Source organism: Homo sapiens, chromosome 7 (genome assembly GCF_000001405.40).
Source record: "Homo sapiens chromosome 7, GRCh38.p14 Primary Assembly".
NCBI lineage: Eukaryota > Metazoa > Chordata > Mammalia > Primates > Hominidae > Homo > Homo sapiens.
In genome coordinates, this window is record NC_000007.14 from 114,564,045 (window position 1) to 114,581,693 (window position 17,649).

Below are 17,649 nucleotides of genomic sequence, written 5' to 3' on the forward strand. Positions count from 1 at the left end.
CATGCTTTCTACTTGTCAAAAAACAAACATACAAACAAACAAACAAAAAACACTACTAATTCCTGATCTGCAAAACTCTTCGTAGTCCTAATCTTTCTAGCCTTGTCTCTCAGCAGCTGGCCCCATTTATAGCATACTCCTACCAAAACTATCACATATTGTCGGCATAATCCTAAACCTTTTGCATTCTCCCTTTCTGTTTTTTTTTACTTCTTTTTCCCAAGCAATGAATTCCTACTCATTTCTTGGGAGCCAGCTAGAAAATGCCTTCTTTCAATATGGTCAAACTGTACTTTTTACGTCTTCAGCAATGCATTTCTCTCTAATATGGGGGCTTTAAAACTTAGGATCCATGGATAGAATTCAGGAGGTTTATGAACTTTAATGGAAGAAAAAGTATTCTTATTTTTATTCCCAATTGAAACTCAACATATTCATAGGAATGTAGGCAACACACCACAGTATTGTTAACAGTATCTGTGACATTGTCAGTGATAGAAATTATAAAAATATTCCTATCTCATCACAGTTGATAAAAAATATCTAGAAATATGACCAGGTGTAGTGGCTCATACCTATAATCTCAGCACTTTGGGAGGCCGAGGTGGGAGGATCACTTGAGCCCAGGAGTTCAAGACCAGCCTGGAGTATATAGTGAGACCCTGTCTCTACAAAAATCAAAGAAAATTAGGTGAGCATGGTGGTATGCACTTGTAGTCCCAGCTACTCAGGAGACTGAGGTGAGAGGATTACTTGATCCTAAGTGGTGGATGCTGCAGTGAGCCAAGATTGCTCCACTGCACTCCAGCCTTGGCAACAGAGCAAGGCCCTGTCAAAAAAAAAAAAAAAAAATCTAGAAATGTTATTTGTGCCCATTACTCAAAATTGTGGTGGTTGTTATATCTTATTAATTCATTAAATATACTATTATATCTTATTTAATTCATTAATAAATAGCATTAATATTTCACAAATGTAGCTTTTTAAATATTTTGAGAACTGAATCTCAATATAATTCTCTTTTTTCTAATGCCTTATTTTATTGTATGCAACCAATTTTTTTTTTTTCTGAGAAGGCTATTCTAGATTTTATCAGATTGCCAAAGAGGTTCAGATACAAAAAAGAAAAACAAAAAAAAAATCAGGAGTCCATGCAAATGGCACTTATGTTGTTGTATCCTAATTTACAAGACTTTTTTTATTTTCCAATCTCCTTTGGATGGAGGGACCATTTTCATTCACCTTTTTATATCCACATGGCTAATATAGTTTATAGCTCATAGTAGGTACTGAAAAGTGTTGACTAAGTGAATAATGGACTAAAAGAAGGAAAAAATACCTGTCATGCAAATATCCTGAACAGAGGGCAATATTTCTCAAAGTATGATCATAGACCTTCTAAACCACAATAATCAAGATGCTTGTTAAAATGCATATCCCTGGACGCTATACCAGATCTTATGAATCTGAATCTCTAGGAAAGTAGCCTGGAATACACAATCATAACAAGCTTCTCCAAAGATTATTTTACATGCTTAAGTTTGGGAACCTGTATAGTCAGATATGTGATACACAGTAGCCTCAAAATAAGTAAATAAAAGCATAACTTTTTACAAATAATTTTATCTCCCTGGACTTCCTTTCCTTCCTCAGTCCACACCACCATCTTCTCAATGTTGTACAGGTCTTGGAGTCTGTGTCACAAAAGAAAGTAAGACAAGGCTAACTATATCAGAATAAAGAATGAAAATTTTTTAGGCATGCACTTACTTAGATTTGGTCCTCTGAGATACGTAATCTCTGGTTCTTGTTGACTGACTCCAAACAAGAGAACAACTTCTGTGATCCACTTGTCTTGTGGAATACTCAAGACAGTTTTCAAGTATGATTTCTCTTTTCTTCATCTTCTCTGTCTGACCTAGGCAATTTAAAATTTGTTTTTCAGAAATGGACTGGAGAAGGATGAAGTTGTATGAATTTGCAAAGCTAAAATGTGTTATCCTGGCACAACCCAATAGCTACATTGTCCCTGGGACAGTTTCCATCAGATATGATGGATGTCCTAAAAACAAGCCATCAAATCAGCAAACACAACAAAACAGTTGGAGGGGCAGAAAGGCAAATCAACCATTTGTTTTTGTTATTGTTTTAAAGTTTGATTTGTTTTATAACGTGAAGAATGTTCATACTTCTTGACTAGCTGAACATTGATGTTTTCATTTTTTCACTTTTAAAATGTAGACCACTCCTATAGCTTGGATATTTTTCCTCCAAATCTCATGTTGAAATTTGACCCCCAGTGTTGGAGGTGGGGCCTCACGGGAGGTGTTTGGGTCATGAGAGTGGATTCCTCATGAATGTCTTGGTGCCATCCTTGTGATGGTGAGTGATCTCTCACTCTACTAGTTCCCACAGAGCTGGTTGTAAAAAAGAGTCTGGCACCTCCTTCACTCTTGTTTCCTCTCTCACCACGTGATTTCTACACACGTGTTTCCCCTTCCCCTTCTGCTATGAGTGGAAGCCACTTGAGGCCCTCACCAGATGCAGATGCCAGCACCATGCTTCTTGTACAGCGTGCAAAACTATGAGCCAAATAAACCTCTTTTCCTTATAAATTACTCAGCCTCATGTATTCCTTTACAGCAACATAAATGTACTAAGACAACCACTATTCCATTCAGATATTATTTTATCCTAAATATTATAAGACACTAAAGTTTTAAACATGTTAAAGAAAAATTTGAGGATCCTTTCAACCAACCTCAAGAAACAAGTTATATTAAATAATTTAAAATATTTTCATTTGTTAGGAAAGATCAATATATAATATTAATACCATGTATATATTATATATTTTTGTATGAAAATTACACTTCATCAACCTTGCAAAAAATATTATTTTTCTTACAAGTCATTTCACCTTATCACTAAATATGAACACACCTATATTAACGTCTTGCTTTGCTGCACCAGGTTTCTAAAAGGAAAAAAATATTTCTTTACTCATATAGGAGAGTCTTTAGTATGTATCATGAAGTCTACTGATAAGTTGAAGACAGATACAATGTCTTGGGAATTTTTGTAACCTTTATAATATGTAATAGCATTTTATACATAGTAGAAACAATAATTCTTTTTATCTGAAAATTGAGTACTATTTTGAAGCAATAATGACAGCTAACAAATAAGTATATAGCTAATAAATGTTAAGTATATGGGTATCAGCACTGTTCTAATTACTTTACAATTGAACATATTTAATAACCATATGATGATGTTACTTATTATCCTCTGTCTAGAGAGAGAGGACAGGAGAAGCTAAGTATTTTGCTCAAGGTCACACCACTATTAAGTGTAAGATCTGAAGCTCAGCATACTATCTCCAGAGCCAGCATTCTTATGTTCAGCACTAAATGACTTACTCTTTATTGTTTTAAAAGAAAAATTACAATGATTCACATTTAATTGAAGAATAGATTCCTTCTGAAGTTAATGTTGAAAGTCCATTCCAGTACATTGTGTGGCCTTTTCACTCTTAAAAGATTCTTTGGTGCTTATTAGAAACAGATGCAAACACTTAAAATATCCATTCACATTGTGTTTCCTTGTGATTTGCTGGAGTTATGTCAGGTTGCCTCCCGGAGATCCATTTCTAAATGACTGTCTGATTTTATTCATCTTGCTACTTCTTTACAAACCTGCGGCTTCATGGTTCTGTTAAAGCATGGTTGATCAGAGTTTTATTGCATCTCTTACCAACATTCTGTCTCTGCCTGTCATAGAAAGCTTTAGGGAAGCCATGAGAAGAAACTGGGTGGGGTTTTCAAAGCACAATTTCTTCAACCAAACCTGTTGGCAAGATATGATGATGGGCTAATGATAGTGCAAAGTTTATTCTCACATACTTTCAGTTGCAGAAACTATTGAGAGTTACTTAAAAGCATTTGCCTTTCAATAGATTATTTTACTTCTAAGTTATTGTTCTTCAGTAAAGTTTAGATTAATTTGACTTTCTCTTTTCACAAATTTTGCCTTTTAACTCTTTATTTTTATTGATTGTTTAACTGTTATGTTTCATAATTTTGCATGCAGAGTGACAGGGACAGAGAAATGTCACTATGAGCCCTCAGTGTCGGTGGCAGTTCTGTGTCTCTTGTTCCTATGGATAGATTAATGACAGTATCATTTTAATATGCTTTATTTCTCTCTATGTTAGCAGGAATAATTTGATAGGAGTGTTTTGGTTAGTCAGTGTTTCTGGTTGATAAAAATAAGATATATCATAGATTTTAGGGAATCGAAAAATAATGAGTATATACTGTGTACCAATCCAAATATATCATTGTGGATGAATGAAAAGGTTCTTCATGGTCTTGTGGGTTTTTTTTTGGGGGGGGGTTATTTTGTTTTGTTTTTGTTTGTTTGTTTTTTGTCAAGGTTATCGTTTCGTTAAAATTTGGGAAATATTTGAGATAGTAACTAAAGAAGATATGTTTGAAATATGGTTAGGTTTATGAAATTATGTTTCTGAGTCAGTTGAGCTAAAAATGGGGAACATTCTCACGGTGAAGCCTCAGGCAGCTTCCATCCCAAAGCTACAAAACTAGACGAATTCTAATGAAAACCTCTTTTTTAATGAAATCCTTCTAATATTTTGGCACCTGTATCCCTTAAATTACCATTTAAGGGATGTTTATGTTTAAGGGATCAGTAGCATTAACTGTATGCTTTTATTCCATAGTATTTTTATTTATTTTTATTACTGTACTTGTACATTATCTCAATATTTCCTGTTTATGTACTCCTCCAGGAGTGAGACTTATTCTTGTATCACCTTCTGACCTGACTGGGATGACAAAACTCCAGGATCCCAACATGTTTTGTTAATGCTGGAGACACAAATTATGATATTTTATTTAACATAGGTGCTTGTGAAATAATTTAAGGTGGTGTTGCTTATTTATAGAGTTTAATTTTCAGTATTAAATATAAACAGTGTCACGGCAGATTTGGAGTTATTGTGACAATCACTTATTTTTTATGTAAATGAGCGTCTATCTGTGGGCTTTATTAGTGTTAGTATGGTTTATTGTTATGGTATGGAATAGCATTTCATTTTTTAAGGATGCTTATGACCTTGTTAAATAGCAGTCCAAAAATCGTGTGGCTTGTTTTGATTTTAACGAAAGTTACAGCTGCCTAGCTGTAAAGCAGTCAGTTTCTCTTATTATGACTAGTTCTTCAACTTGTACTGTTTTAAATTGCCTGCAATTAGCATATTTCAACCTTATTTTTAGGTTTAAATTGCAGTGTGAGAGTGTACTCTCCTCTTAGCTAATTAGTGCTATCAAGGAACAGTAGGTTACCTCATTAGTACCATGTGCATTTAATTAAAGAAGAGAAAATTGGAGTTAACCTCATAGTTAATATTTTCACAGAGTGCTACAATGCCAACACCTTCAATTGGAGTCACACCCCTGTGTATCTAATTATGCACTGGTGCCAAATAAGGTTAGCAAGAGTAGCACAAGGCTGTTGACAAAATAATTTAGATGAAAATGTATTTGTTGAATTCTGGCAGCAAAATACAACTTGAACAATTTCCCCCCAGTCTTCATCTGCTAGCATCAGGTGACATACTTCTTCCTAAGAAACAGAGGGAAAAGGATATTTTGGAAGCCATTTTTCCTGTTTGAATTAATGTTGCTCTTATCTTCAAGAAAATGGCATGTAGTCATGTAAAGCATATACAATCCATTTCTTAAACATAACCTCTGAACTTCATAGATGTATTTGAAAAGAATTATTTATAAGATGTAATATTTACATGCATCAAACCACTACAAATACTCCCTGACACCCTTAACACATCCCTCCTTGCTTTTCTTCTTTTCTGGTATAGTTATAATTTCCCTTGTGTATCTTATGAATGGGGATCATCCTTTCATATCATACATGAAGTCTAAGGATGTGTTGTCACATGGTCTATTCAAATGCAGTGTAATCCTTTTGCCCTTCAGACAAAATCTTTGAAATGTCTAATGCTACTTAGGTAAAAAATGACATTCCATGTCATTTATCAATAAATAATCACTTTGCTTTTACAGATAAAAATGCAAACTATACATTTGAGTATATAGAGTAGTTTTCAATGCAAATGGTACAATTCAACAGGTTTTAACAGATATTATGGAGGTTGGTTGCATAGTCTTAGATACATTTTAGTGGCAATAATTTTTATATAATAATGCATAACCACAGCAGTTTATTTAAATAAATTATTGTGATTGTTCTCACATGACATGGTAGGACAGGATTTATGTTCATTTGTACTGGTTACAATTGATTACAAGTCAGAGGTTTGCTTTTTCAAAATTATTGATGATTACATTTTAAGAACAAATAACATCCCATACACCAAAATTGCAGTGTCATTTAAATATATAGGAGTATTTATGATTCTTAGCTTACAAGTGGGAAGTAAGGTTCCTACAGCAGTATCATGGTACATAATCAGTGGATTTTTTGGTTATGGGTTAATTTATTATGGTCCAAATATTCAACTTCCCATCTGCCAAATTATTTCTATTTTTAAAATCTATACTGGTTAACTGTGAGACAATGATGGAATATTCTTCCCTATTTTGACCTACCAAGATAATAATTCCAAAAAATGATTTTTAAAAATGATAATGTACGTTATTAGCACAAGCCTTAAGATTGAAAAAAAAGCCAACTCCTGATTCTCTTTGTTTAACCTAGGAATTGCTTCCAGAAACAAAATTATGTATCTGTGGCCACTCTTCTGGTGATGGGCATCCTCACAACACATTTGCAGTAAGTTACACTGGGCAATTAGAAATTCAGCTACTAGGCACAAGGCCATGGACCCAGTCCCACTAAATAGATTATATGTGATTTTCTATAGCCAATCCCTTCCATTGGTGCAGATAATCAAGATACAAATAATGTTAAGATACAGATGTAATTAGTTGATTTTCTCTTGCTTCTTTTGTTCTCAATTCAGTTATGTTTCACTAGATATACATTTCACAGTTTCTGTGAGTTGACTACCTTAAATATATAAAGGCTTTAACACCACTATACTTTTCTTGAACTTTTAGGAATAATTTGATGAGGGAGTGTTGATATGCAGAAAATAAATGGGCATAGATAATGAGTTGATTCAACACATATTTTAGAACAAAATTGCTGTTCCATGTTCTTCAAGTTGTCATATAAATATACCAAGGCCTTTTAAACATTCTGCCACTAGAGTGTAACTTGTCACTTTGGACTGTAATATTTGGTGAAAATTGCTTATGTGGCCCAATTCACATAGCAGTTATCCTTGGAAATGGATAGTAATCCTCAAGTCTCCATTCAAGAATTTTTAAATAAAGCAACTTCATGTTTCTATTGAGCATAGATTCTACCTGCATTCTTAAGAAATCTTGAAACATATAAGTCATGTATTTTCACATATAGTCAGCGCTTCACAGTCATGGGTTCTGTATCTGTGGATTCAACCAACCACAGATCCAAAATAGTTGGGGAAAAAATGGATGGTTGCATCTGTACCGAAAATTTTCATACATTTTTCTTCCTTATCATTATTCCCCAAAGAAAACATTGTAACAACTGTTTATACAGCATTTATTTTACATTAAGTATTATAAGTGAGCTAGAGATTATTTAAAGTATACAGGAGGATGTGCATAGGTTATATGTAAATAGTACATCATTTTATATAAGGGACTTGGGCAATTATGGATTTTGGTATCTATGTGTGTCCAATCCCCTACACATACCGAAGGACTACTATACACAACTTTTGCTTGTTTCCTTAAGAACTGATGTATTTATTTAGGCTCAATGGGCTAGAGTATTTCTAAATTGACTCAGCCAAAATTTATTTACTTTTTACTACTCTATACATAATATTTCCTAATTATAATTGGCGAACAACAACAAAATTAATACTCATATACAATCAATGTCTTCCTGAATGAAGAAGAAATATCTAATTTCATACTTTGGTTAAAAAGACAGAAAATGTTTTCAATAAAAATAGTGTCAAATTAATGAAAGGATATTTATGGAAAATATGAAACTTTTAAAAATGTTAGTTGCAATACAAAATAAACTCAAAAGTGGAAGCAGCAATAACATATCCTATTCTATAGAAATGGTAAATGTCAAAAAAAAAAGAAATAATGAATGTCAAGGATGGGTAATAAATGTTATATATGCTGGCTTCAGAGAGACCTGAAATTACCTGGTTTGTGGCCTCATTCACTTTAATCCTATAGTATTTGGTCCCCCTAAGCTTTTTTGTAACAACATTTGAAAGAAAAATAGCAAAAATTTAAAAATTTTGGTAAGTTTTGCTGATATGATGTAATTAAGTTTATGTGAAAGATTAAAATAATCTTAATTTCTAAGTATTCTCTGTATATTTTAAAGGAAGATAAATTTTAGGTAAACATCAAGTGCAATTATATTCTTTAACTTAATAAAGAAAATTAACTTAAAATTACTTTTAAAAATAGTGCATTAAAAATGGGACAGTTTTCCTAATTAGTAACACTTTTTCCTAAAATAATCCCAATGGAAAAATTGTTTTCGTTAAACTGAAGAGTGAGGTGGCTTAACTGCTAATAGTGTTTGCTCTTTATCTAAAACTACTTTTACCATTTAAAACAAATCTCTGTTCTACTGATGAGAGAAAAGAAATCTATAGCATCAAAAGTTTATATTTTCACTGACATATTTTCAGAATGAAAATGAGACATGAAGAAGTGAAATGATTCACCAGAGGCCATGTAATTTCTCAATGGTAAAGCTGAATTTGTTGCCCAAGTTTGTGATGACCAGTGTATTGGTCTTTCCAAAGGTATCCCAAATTGTTCTTGGCTGCTTTGAATGCAGTGTTAAGTAGAAGTCTGAGGTTCTTCCATGTGTCTGAGACTGCATCTCATCTCTCAGATAGAAAGAGCACCAGTATGAGTTAGTGAGGTCTGGTATGGCTGGTGGGAAAGGAGGAGCATAGCAGTGCATTTGCCATCAGATCTTTGCAATCTCTGTAGTGTGCCAATTTCATACTTCATCTTGGTCATTGAGTGACTTTACAAATGGGGCTTCTTGACTTCACAACACAAGGGAAATCTTATTTAAGTAATATTAACTGCTTATTTTCCTTTATTGATTACCTTATATATAAACTTCAGCATGCTAAAATGGCTACATAATGTGATTTAAAATCAATATACTAACCAGAAAAAATACTATATTATTCATAATTGACAATTGCTATGTGATGGACATGGTTCTGTTTTAGTATTCATTGCATTTATAAGTACCAATATGCCAGAGTGGTAGTCTGGAACACCGTAAGAGTACTGGTGGGCTAAAAGGAAGAAAGAGGTCAAAAAGATAGATGGGGTACCTAAAGCCTGCCATATGTTTTCATCACTATGTAACTAACATTTATAATAAATTGTGAATTATTACAATAGTTTTCAAATGTTAAGAGACCCTACATAATGCCTATCAAAGTGTTAATTTAATGTCACACATATTATTTCTGTGGTTGATCAGCCTTCACACACACACATACAAGCCAAAATTTTCAGGCACATGTTCCAAATTGGTGGATTAAATTAATTTTTACTCTTCCTATCACACCTAATTCACTTAAAAAATAAAAATCCCTTAATTTTATTAACAAGCCTAAAGTAAAGTGCCAAAAATTGCAGGGAGAGAAAACAACTTACATTACCAAATGAAGGTTAAAGCCCAAATTATCTCAAGGAAATAATATTACATATTTGATATTAAACAGGGGTCAAAAGCTCTTCATTATACCATCCTTTTTCAGATATAATTGTATCAATTTACTAGCAAAACGTGCAATAAAAATATTTTTTCATAGGGTTTTTTCTGGTGTCTTGGCTTATTGATAACCATCAAACATTGGCCATCCCCTGAGTATTGTACCTCTCTATTACATTGTTGAACAGTAGTGATATTTTAATGTACTCACTAATAAATTATATTTAATGTGCCTCTATCAATTCATTGCAATACTGGGCAGTAATTGTATGCACTTATCTTTATGTGAAAATTGTGATTCTAAATTTTATCTACTTGTTGTATTTGAAGAAATATTTGGGCTCCTTCGATTGTATATTCACTATTCTAAGAGTAACAATATAATGTCCTTATTATAACTTTGAATTTAATAGATAAAAAAGCATTAATTTCTGGCTTTAAAAAACGAGGGTATAAGAGGAAGAGAGCTTCATTGTTAGAGAATACTTTTCAATGCTTGCTTTTCACATTCAGTTTTTTCAAATAGTGTCTAGTTTAATCTGAAAAAAAAAATCTTCACTTATTTTACTTTTCTTTCAAACTTCGGTACTAGGATACATGCCTTTCTTTTTTTCCTGATTTATCAAACAGCTTTACAAATGAGTAACTCTGCCAAGATTCTAAATTTCACAATCTTTGGCTTCCTTACAAGATAGTAACCCAAGTTCATTCACTACTCTCTAACTATACCCTGTTGGCACCTCATCTGCCTGAATGACCTCATTAACACCTATCTGCAAGTAATCTTATTGTTAGTGTTGCCTACAGGTTTTTACACCTAAGTGAATACTGTTTTACATAGGATTCTGCCAGTTAGTTCTAACTGCGAAGGCAATTATGTGGAATGCTTAGGGTCTTTGTCTTTGGCTCTTATTTTTAAAACCTTTAGCATTGAGCCAGATGAATCTTTTGATGAACAAAATGTCTTGTACCTATAATCTGAAAATGAAACTTGCCTAGCCTTGGTATAACTGCTTTATTTTCCATTCAAATTAAATTACACTGGCCACATTTGATCTTTCTCCCTACAGGTCTTTACTATGTTTATCTCCTGAATGGTTCATTTTTAATGGGGATGCTGGGTTGGAAGAAATAAGAAAACAGGGATAGTGATGCTTTTTAAAATATCTTTTTATTTGTGTTCCAAATTCATCTCTCTCTTGAGGCTTTACATAAATCCTACACAACACCAAATAATCCACCCTGTGGGCTCTACAATCAGCTTTCTGGTTTGATAACTGGGCCAGTTTCTTAACTTTGCTTTGCTTCACGTTCTCAGTCTGTAAAATTATAACAATAATACTACCTACCTCATAAGGTGGTAACGGGAATTAAATATGATAACCCTAAAAAGTACTTACCATAATGACTAACACATAGTAAACATGCAATAGATGTTGAGTCAGTATCTGTAATAGCATCAATATACTCTTGCTTGGATGAAAGAGTCAATTCTGTTGGATGTAAATTTAAGTGTATTTTTGGTATTAACACTAAAAGGGGCATTGGACATTGTACCTTGGGTCACGGCCAAGACAGATGGCAGTGTTATCCACTGAGAGGAGTCTTTATATTAATCGATTTAAGTTGAATACTGACTTGTTCACTCACACAAAAAATAGTGTTCTCCAAATGCTTTCTGACTTGTTAAGTGGAAGACAGCTAAGTGGAAGAGACAGAACTCTGCCTCACCAGACCTAAATGATGCCTGGCAGCCAAGAAGAATCATAGCTAAAATACGTAAGGAAAAGTGATTGTCCCCCAATTGTCTGTATCCAGCTAAAGCACATGAAGATACAAAGTTAGGAAATACATGCAGCAATGTTGAATTGCCTCTACTTTTTTCTTCCTTCCTATATTATAAACATATTAGCAGAGAGTAACCTGAAGTTAAAGATAAATTACTACTTATCAGTGTTGACAGTTTTAACTAACATGCTGAAAACAATTAACCAAGGATAATGTTGCAGTAATTTTTTTCACAGTACCCTTTTTATAAAAGCTGTTTACAGTATTTTATAAAATACTGTATACATTTGTAAAAAGATGTGTGGTGTACACTTGAATTCATTGTTTTACTGTGTTTATTTTTGAGTAGGTTTTATTGATTATTATGATGGTATTCATACTATGGCCCTTCAGTAAGAAATAAACTTAAGATAATGAAATGTTTCAAACACTTATGTTATAGATTGTTTTGTTAATTCCATAAAGATATAATATAGTGACCATGTTTAGGGTTATTGTTAAAAACATTCCAGATGCTGTATCCATCTGAAACAGAATACAGGTTTTTGTTTTTAAAGCCTTGGCTGACATTTGTATGCAATTTCTTGATTAATCTTTTTTTCTACTGTAATTCAACATATTAGTAATTATCTTTACACGCCCCTCTCAGCTGGAATGTAAGCTCCCTGATCTCAGTTTGTTCTAGAAACTTCTCCTGAGTGGTTGCCCCTCACCTTCTATTTCATTGTAATATTTGAGATTCCCAAGAATATTCTTGATGTTGGTTCCAAGAAGGACCAGTAGCAGACATTTTTCAATGGAGGATCGTCTTTGAAATTTATAATGAATAATTTACTCCCCTTGATGATTCACCAAAGCATTAGTGTGGCAGAAATTGGGGGCTGATGAAAGGATTATTTATTTAGTCAGTGGTTTTGTTGTTGTTAATATATTTTTCATCAAATAAATTGATACACACACTAGAATATGTATGTGGCAATAATATTCATTTATGGTGCTTATTAGGACAGACTGTATTTTGCATTTTAAAGTTATTTGTAATGAGCTATTAGTGATAGTCTCTACAAATATGACATATAATTGGCATTAACTTCTAACCGTTTGCTCTATAGTTTTTGCGTATTTCTAAACATCGCTTAAGGAAATGTGTATTCTGTATTTACTATTTGTATTTCTGTTCCCTGTCTATTTCCACATCATCTTATTTAGCATAATTGAAAGTTGTAGAAAATGCTTTGTCATTTTAGTGTATAAATTTTCAGAATTGTGCTCATACACAAACAAACATACATCATACATACACATATCTAAGCAATTATATAAAAGAGTGTGCATGTGTCTTTATTCAATTCTATGTGCAGTTCATTTTTCTTTCTTATTGAAGTTACATGTTTTAGATTTGTAATTTTCATTAGGTGAGTGAATTGTTTGTTATGCATAGGATTAAAAAATTATGGAACCAAATGTTTATAACTGGCATAGTTTATGCAGTACTGTATTTACTTAAAAATATTTCTAAATAACAGGATTTTTAAAATATAAATTTCAATACATAGGATGTCAGGTTAAGCAGCACGGGACTTCCACTGACATTAAAACTTAAACCTGAAAAACAACAACAACAACAACAAAACTTAAACCTGAAGCTACATGCTGTACTTTAACAATGGCGTTCAGAAAGCCTACTATCACCGGAGTTTTGTTATGCTATAATAACTTTATGCATCAGACAATTTAGATGAAATTGCACTTATTTACTTTCAAATAATCCTACTGTTTATCATAACAATAAGTTTTATGCAAATAGATTCATACTGTTAATCAGATAAAGTCTTATACCAAGCTAGAGAATTCAAAATTGAACTTTTAAAATACTTAGCATAAAGAACAGTTTGTAATGCTCAGGCTCTCACAATCATGCTCCTTAGCTCCTTTCCATGAAGTCATGATTTCTTTCCCACCAGACTTCCTCCTGATCTCTCTTAAGAGAGAGATTGTGAGATATTTTACAATATTGGAAGAAACCATCTCCTCTTCAGATACAGAATTCTAGTTATAACGTTATACTTCAGACTACATATGTTATATATTTAATATTTTATGAGTAATGCTGTAATTTAGAATTTTATATGTAGAATATTTAGTCTGGCATACAACAGCCAGTATAGAATGAGAGTAAGAAACGTCATCATAAGAGATTATAATAAAGGGGAGGCATCAAGCAAACATCTCAGAGATAAATTCTCATTATATTAAGCATAATTCATAAATTCACAGAGAGTTGTGCAATTGTAGAGAGAAAGTGTTACCAAAATGATGTCCTCAGAATTGAATAAACAAGCTTAAAAGTTTAGGAATTCAATATTTCTAGTGTATCATATACATATACCTGAAGAACATTTTCTGGTGCATAGATCATTAATACAAAATTCAATTAATATGAATAACAAATGTACTGTTGTTTTATCTTTATTTCCTTCCCTATCCTTGTTGCCTGTAAGTTGTAGGTATAAGAGATTATATCTCTTAAACTCTTTTATATTGAGGCTGGAAAACATACTTTTTGCGTATCTACTCTTTTCTCCTTTTATATTACCTGAGTAGATACTGCTATTTTGGAAGGGTTGCGCCCTGTTACTACATTGCCAGATTGCCAAAATTCAAAGGAAGGGATGTCTGCTTAACATCTATTTTCATCCTATATGGACTGATAGTGTATTAGAGCTAAAAGGGGCCTTATAGTTCATCTAATTCAACTCCTTTATTTTACAATTGAAAAAAAGTGTTAAAGAATAAAAGTGACTTCCTTAATATCTCCCCATTATTAATTGAATTCAAGAGGGAGCTACTGATGATCTGACAGTTCTTTAGTCTTGACTCATGGTTCATATGTATTAATTTTGCCAGGCCATTTGTTTTAGTTTTAATTCTATGTGTCTGTCAAATAAGGAAATCACTCTGTTTTTCCAAATGTTGCTGATCACATTTACCTATGAAAAAGCTTTAAAAACCAGATGGATATCATGATTACTTTTAAAATTACCATTCATATTACTTGACTACATGTGGTTTGTTTAGGACACTTTTAAGGTCTCAATCATATCTATGACATTGTTTTATTTATAGGTCAAGGTTTTAGAAAAGGAAAATTTAAGGTTCCTCAGTGATTTCCTCAGAAATGTTTTAAAGTGAATTGTGAAATTCCAGACTGTAGATTTATTGCTTATGTTCTTTTATTAGGACTTCAGCTAGGAGAAAAAGGACACTTAAAAAACATATATAAGGCAATAGAAATTTAGTTTCTAATTGTTAAAAGAATAAGCCTAATGGTTACCAAGCCTTAATCCTTTACATTTTCTCTTTATTTAGACTATACATTCAAGAAGGATCAATTGCTTTATAGAAAGGACCAAAATCTGAGGGTTTCCCAGGCTTTTCCAGTTGTTTGTTTACTATGTGTCAGATAAATATGTATTAACAATTAAAAATAAGTGGTTAGTGGATCTGTTGTGCCATCCTGATCTTGAAATTCTAAGAAAAGGAGATAAGACAATACTTTTAAGTCTGATATTTAAATATTGGACACTCAATGTATAAAGCCCAGGTTAGATGCTTGGATTGATCAGATAAAGATACTAAGTTCATAACATAAAATTTTTATCCCATAAAATATATTCATAGCACTAGTGATAGAAATGGGTACAGAGGTTACAGAATTCTTTCGAGAAATTGTGATTCTAGATCAGTCCTAGATAAGTATCTGGGACCTATCAATTCTACTATTGTTAATTAGCACATACAGTTTTGTTGCTGTGACTGTCGCCCACCCCAAACTAGGCTCTTTTCTTTCCCTACCTTCTGCTTCTGTTCTCAGACATACCATATTCCATTTTTTTTTCTGTCCCCCCATAGCCTGTTTCCTTTTCTTCCCTGTGTATCAACTTCCACCGGTTATGCAAGCCCGAACTCAGTTACTGTTGCACATGAATGCTTTTTCACCAACACAGTTCACATGGATTAATTCCTTTTTTAATATTGTGTATCATACTTGTCTAACTCACACTTTTGGAATTATTCTTACATAGCTCCATTGATAATTCCATTCAACACATATTCACTGAGCATATACTATGGATAACTCATGTTGCTAAGCAGCATTTTCAGTAAAATGATGAGTTATCACCTATATTTGAGAAATTTAGATTATGAAAATGGGAAATACGTAATTTAGGATTCAAAAATCTATGCACTCTAAGGAGAGATTCAATCATTGTACTGAGGAATTAAAAACAAGTAGTTAGGAGAGGTTTATTTGAGGTAAAGTTTAAAAAAAATCTTATTGGCATATGTAGCCTCTTATTGTATAGGCTAATGCCAGAATTTGAAGTTTTAAGTGCCTTTTTAAAAGGACCTTAAATATTCTGTAAGATTTTGAGTAAGGAAGTGGATGTAACATAACTAGACCATCCTACTTAAGATATCCTTAGAGCAATAGAAAGCAGTCACTGGAATGACAAAAAATATTGGAGTCTATGTGTCCAATTAGAGTGTGTTATCAGAAAAACCAATCATCGTCATCTTAACTAGGGGAAGGATAGGAGAAGGAAATAAGACAGATTTAAGAAAGAAGGACGGGCACGGTGGCTCACGCCTGTAATCCCAGCACTTTGGGAGGCTGAGGCGGGTGGATCACCTGAGGTCAGGAGTTCGAGACCAGCCTGACCAACATGGTGAAACCCCATCTCTACTAAAAATACAAAAATTAGCTGGGTGTGATGGCATATTCCTGTAGTCCCAGCTACTTGAGAGGCTGAGACAGGAGAATTGTTTGAACCCGGGAGGCAGAGGTTGCAGTGAGCTGAGATCACACCACCACTGTGCTCCAGCCTGGGCAACAGAGTGCGACTCTGTCTCAAAACAAAAACAAAAACAAAACAAAACAGAAAACAAGAAAGAAAAGAAAGAATACAACGACTTGATTTTTAAAAGCATGTTGACAATTAGAAAAACAAGAAATTGAGATTTCTGTAATTTTATACCTGGTTATCTGTATTTGGCAGGTTGTGACCCTGGTGATACCTAAAACACAAAAATAGCAAGTTTGACCATAGGCAGTAGGAAGTTGAAAGTGACAATCGGTTTTGTTTGAGAAGTGGGATATCTGCGTGTTCAGTAGGCAGTTAGCACTGAGTTGGAGATGATGCATTTTTGGAAGTCATATAATATACAGGAGACTAGAGTCCCATAATTTTTAAGGAGATCCTGAAGAGTAAGATAGCACAGAGAAGTTGCAACACAAGACACTGGGTAAAGGAAGAATGAGCCAGCAAAGAATGTGAATCTATAGCAGTAGAGAACCAGGAGCCAGCAGTCAAAGGCCAATAGAAGATACACTCACATAAACACATGCACACACACACACACACACACACACACACACAAGCACACGGACAGATTGGATTTGTTGCTTCTATCTTCTTCCGTTTATTTATTTATTTATTTATTTATTTATTTATTTATTTATTTATTTATTTTGAGATGCAGTCTGGCTCTGTCACCCAGGCTGGAGTGCAGTGGCACAGTCTCTGCTCACTGCAACCTCTGCCTCCTAGGCTTAAGCGATCCTCCCTCCTCAGCCTCCCCAGTAGTTGGCACCACAGGCACAAGCCACCATATCTGACTAATTATTGTATTTTTTGTAGAGATGGGGTTTCACCATTGCCCAGGCTGGTCTTGAACTCCTGGCCTTACAGACGTGAGCCACTGTGCCTGGCCATCTTCTTTATAATTAACACTTTTTTGTGTGTCAGATTAGTTTTAGGTTCACAGCAAAACTGAGAGAAAGTTAGGAGTTTCTCATATACCTCCTACACACATAGCCTCTCCTATTATAAACATCCCAACCAGAGTGGTATATTTTTACCACTGTTCAACCTATACTGACACATCATTATCTCCCTGAGTCCATAGATTACATTAGGGTTCACTCTTGGTGTTGTACATTCTATGGGTTTGGACAAATACATG

General features: G+C 33.5%; 1 protein-coding gene across 8 annotated transcripts in view; it reads left to right on the forward strand.

Annotated features, from left to right (window-relative positions):
* The window catches only part of FOXP2 (forkhead box P2), a 607,439-nt gene that overhangs the window by 477,718 nt on the left and 112,072 nt on the right, over window positions 1-17,649 (forward strand). For 3 of the 8 annotated variants that reach the window (NR_033766.2, NM_148898.4, NM_001172767.2), the window contains one exon: window positions 6,763-6,837. The exons of the other annotated variants lie outside the window; for them this stretch is intronic. Coding sequence is in view for 2 of the 3 variants with exons in the window: in NM_148898.4 (NP_683696.2) it covers window positions 6,763-6,837 (75 nt within the window). In the remaining variant the exon portion in view is untranslated. The remainder of the gene's footprint in view (window positions 1-6,762; window positions 6,838-17,649) is intronic. 8 annotated transcript variants of the gene reach the window in all.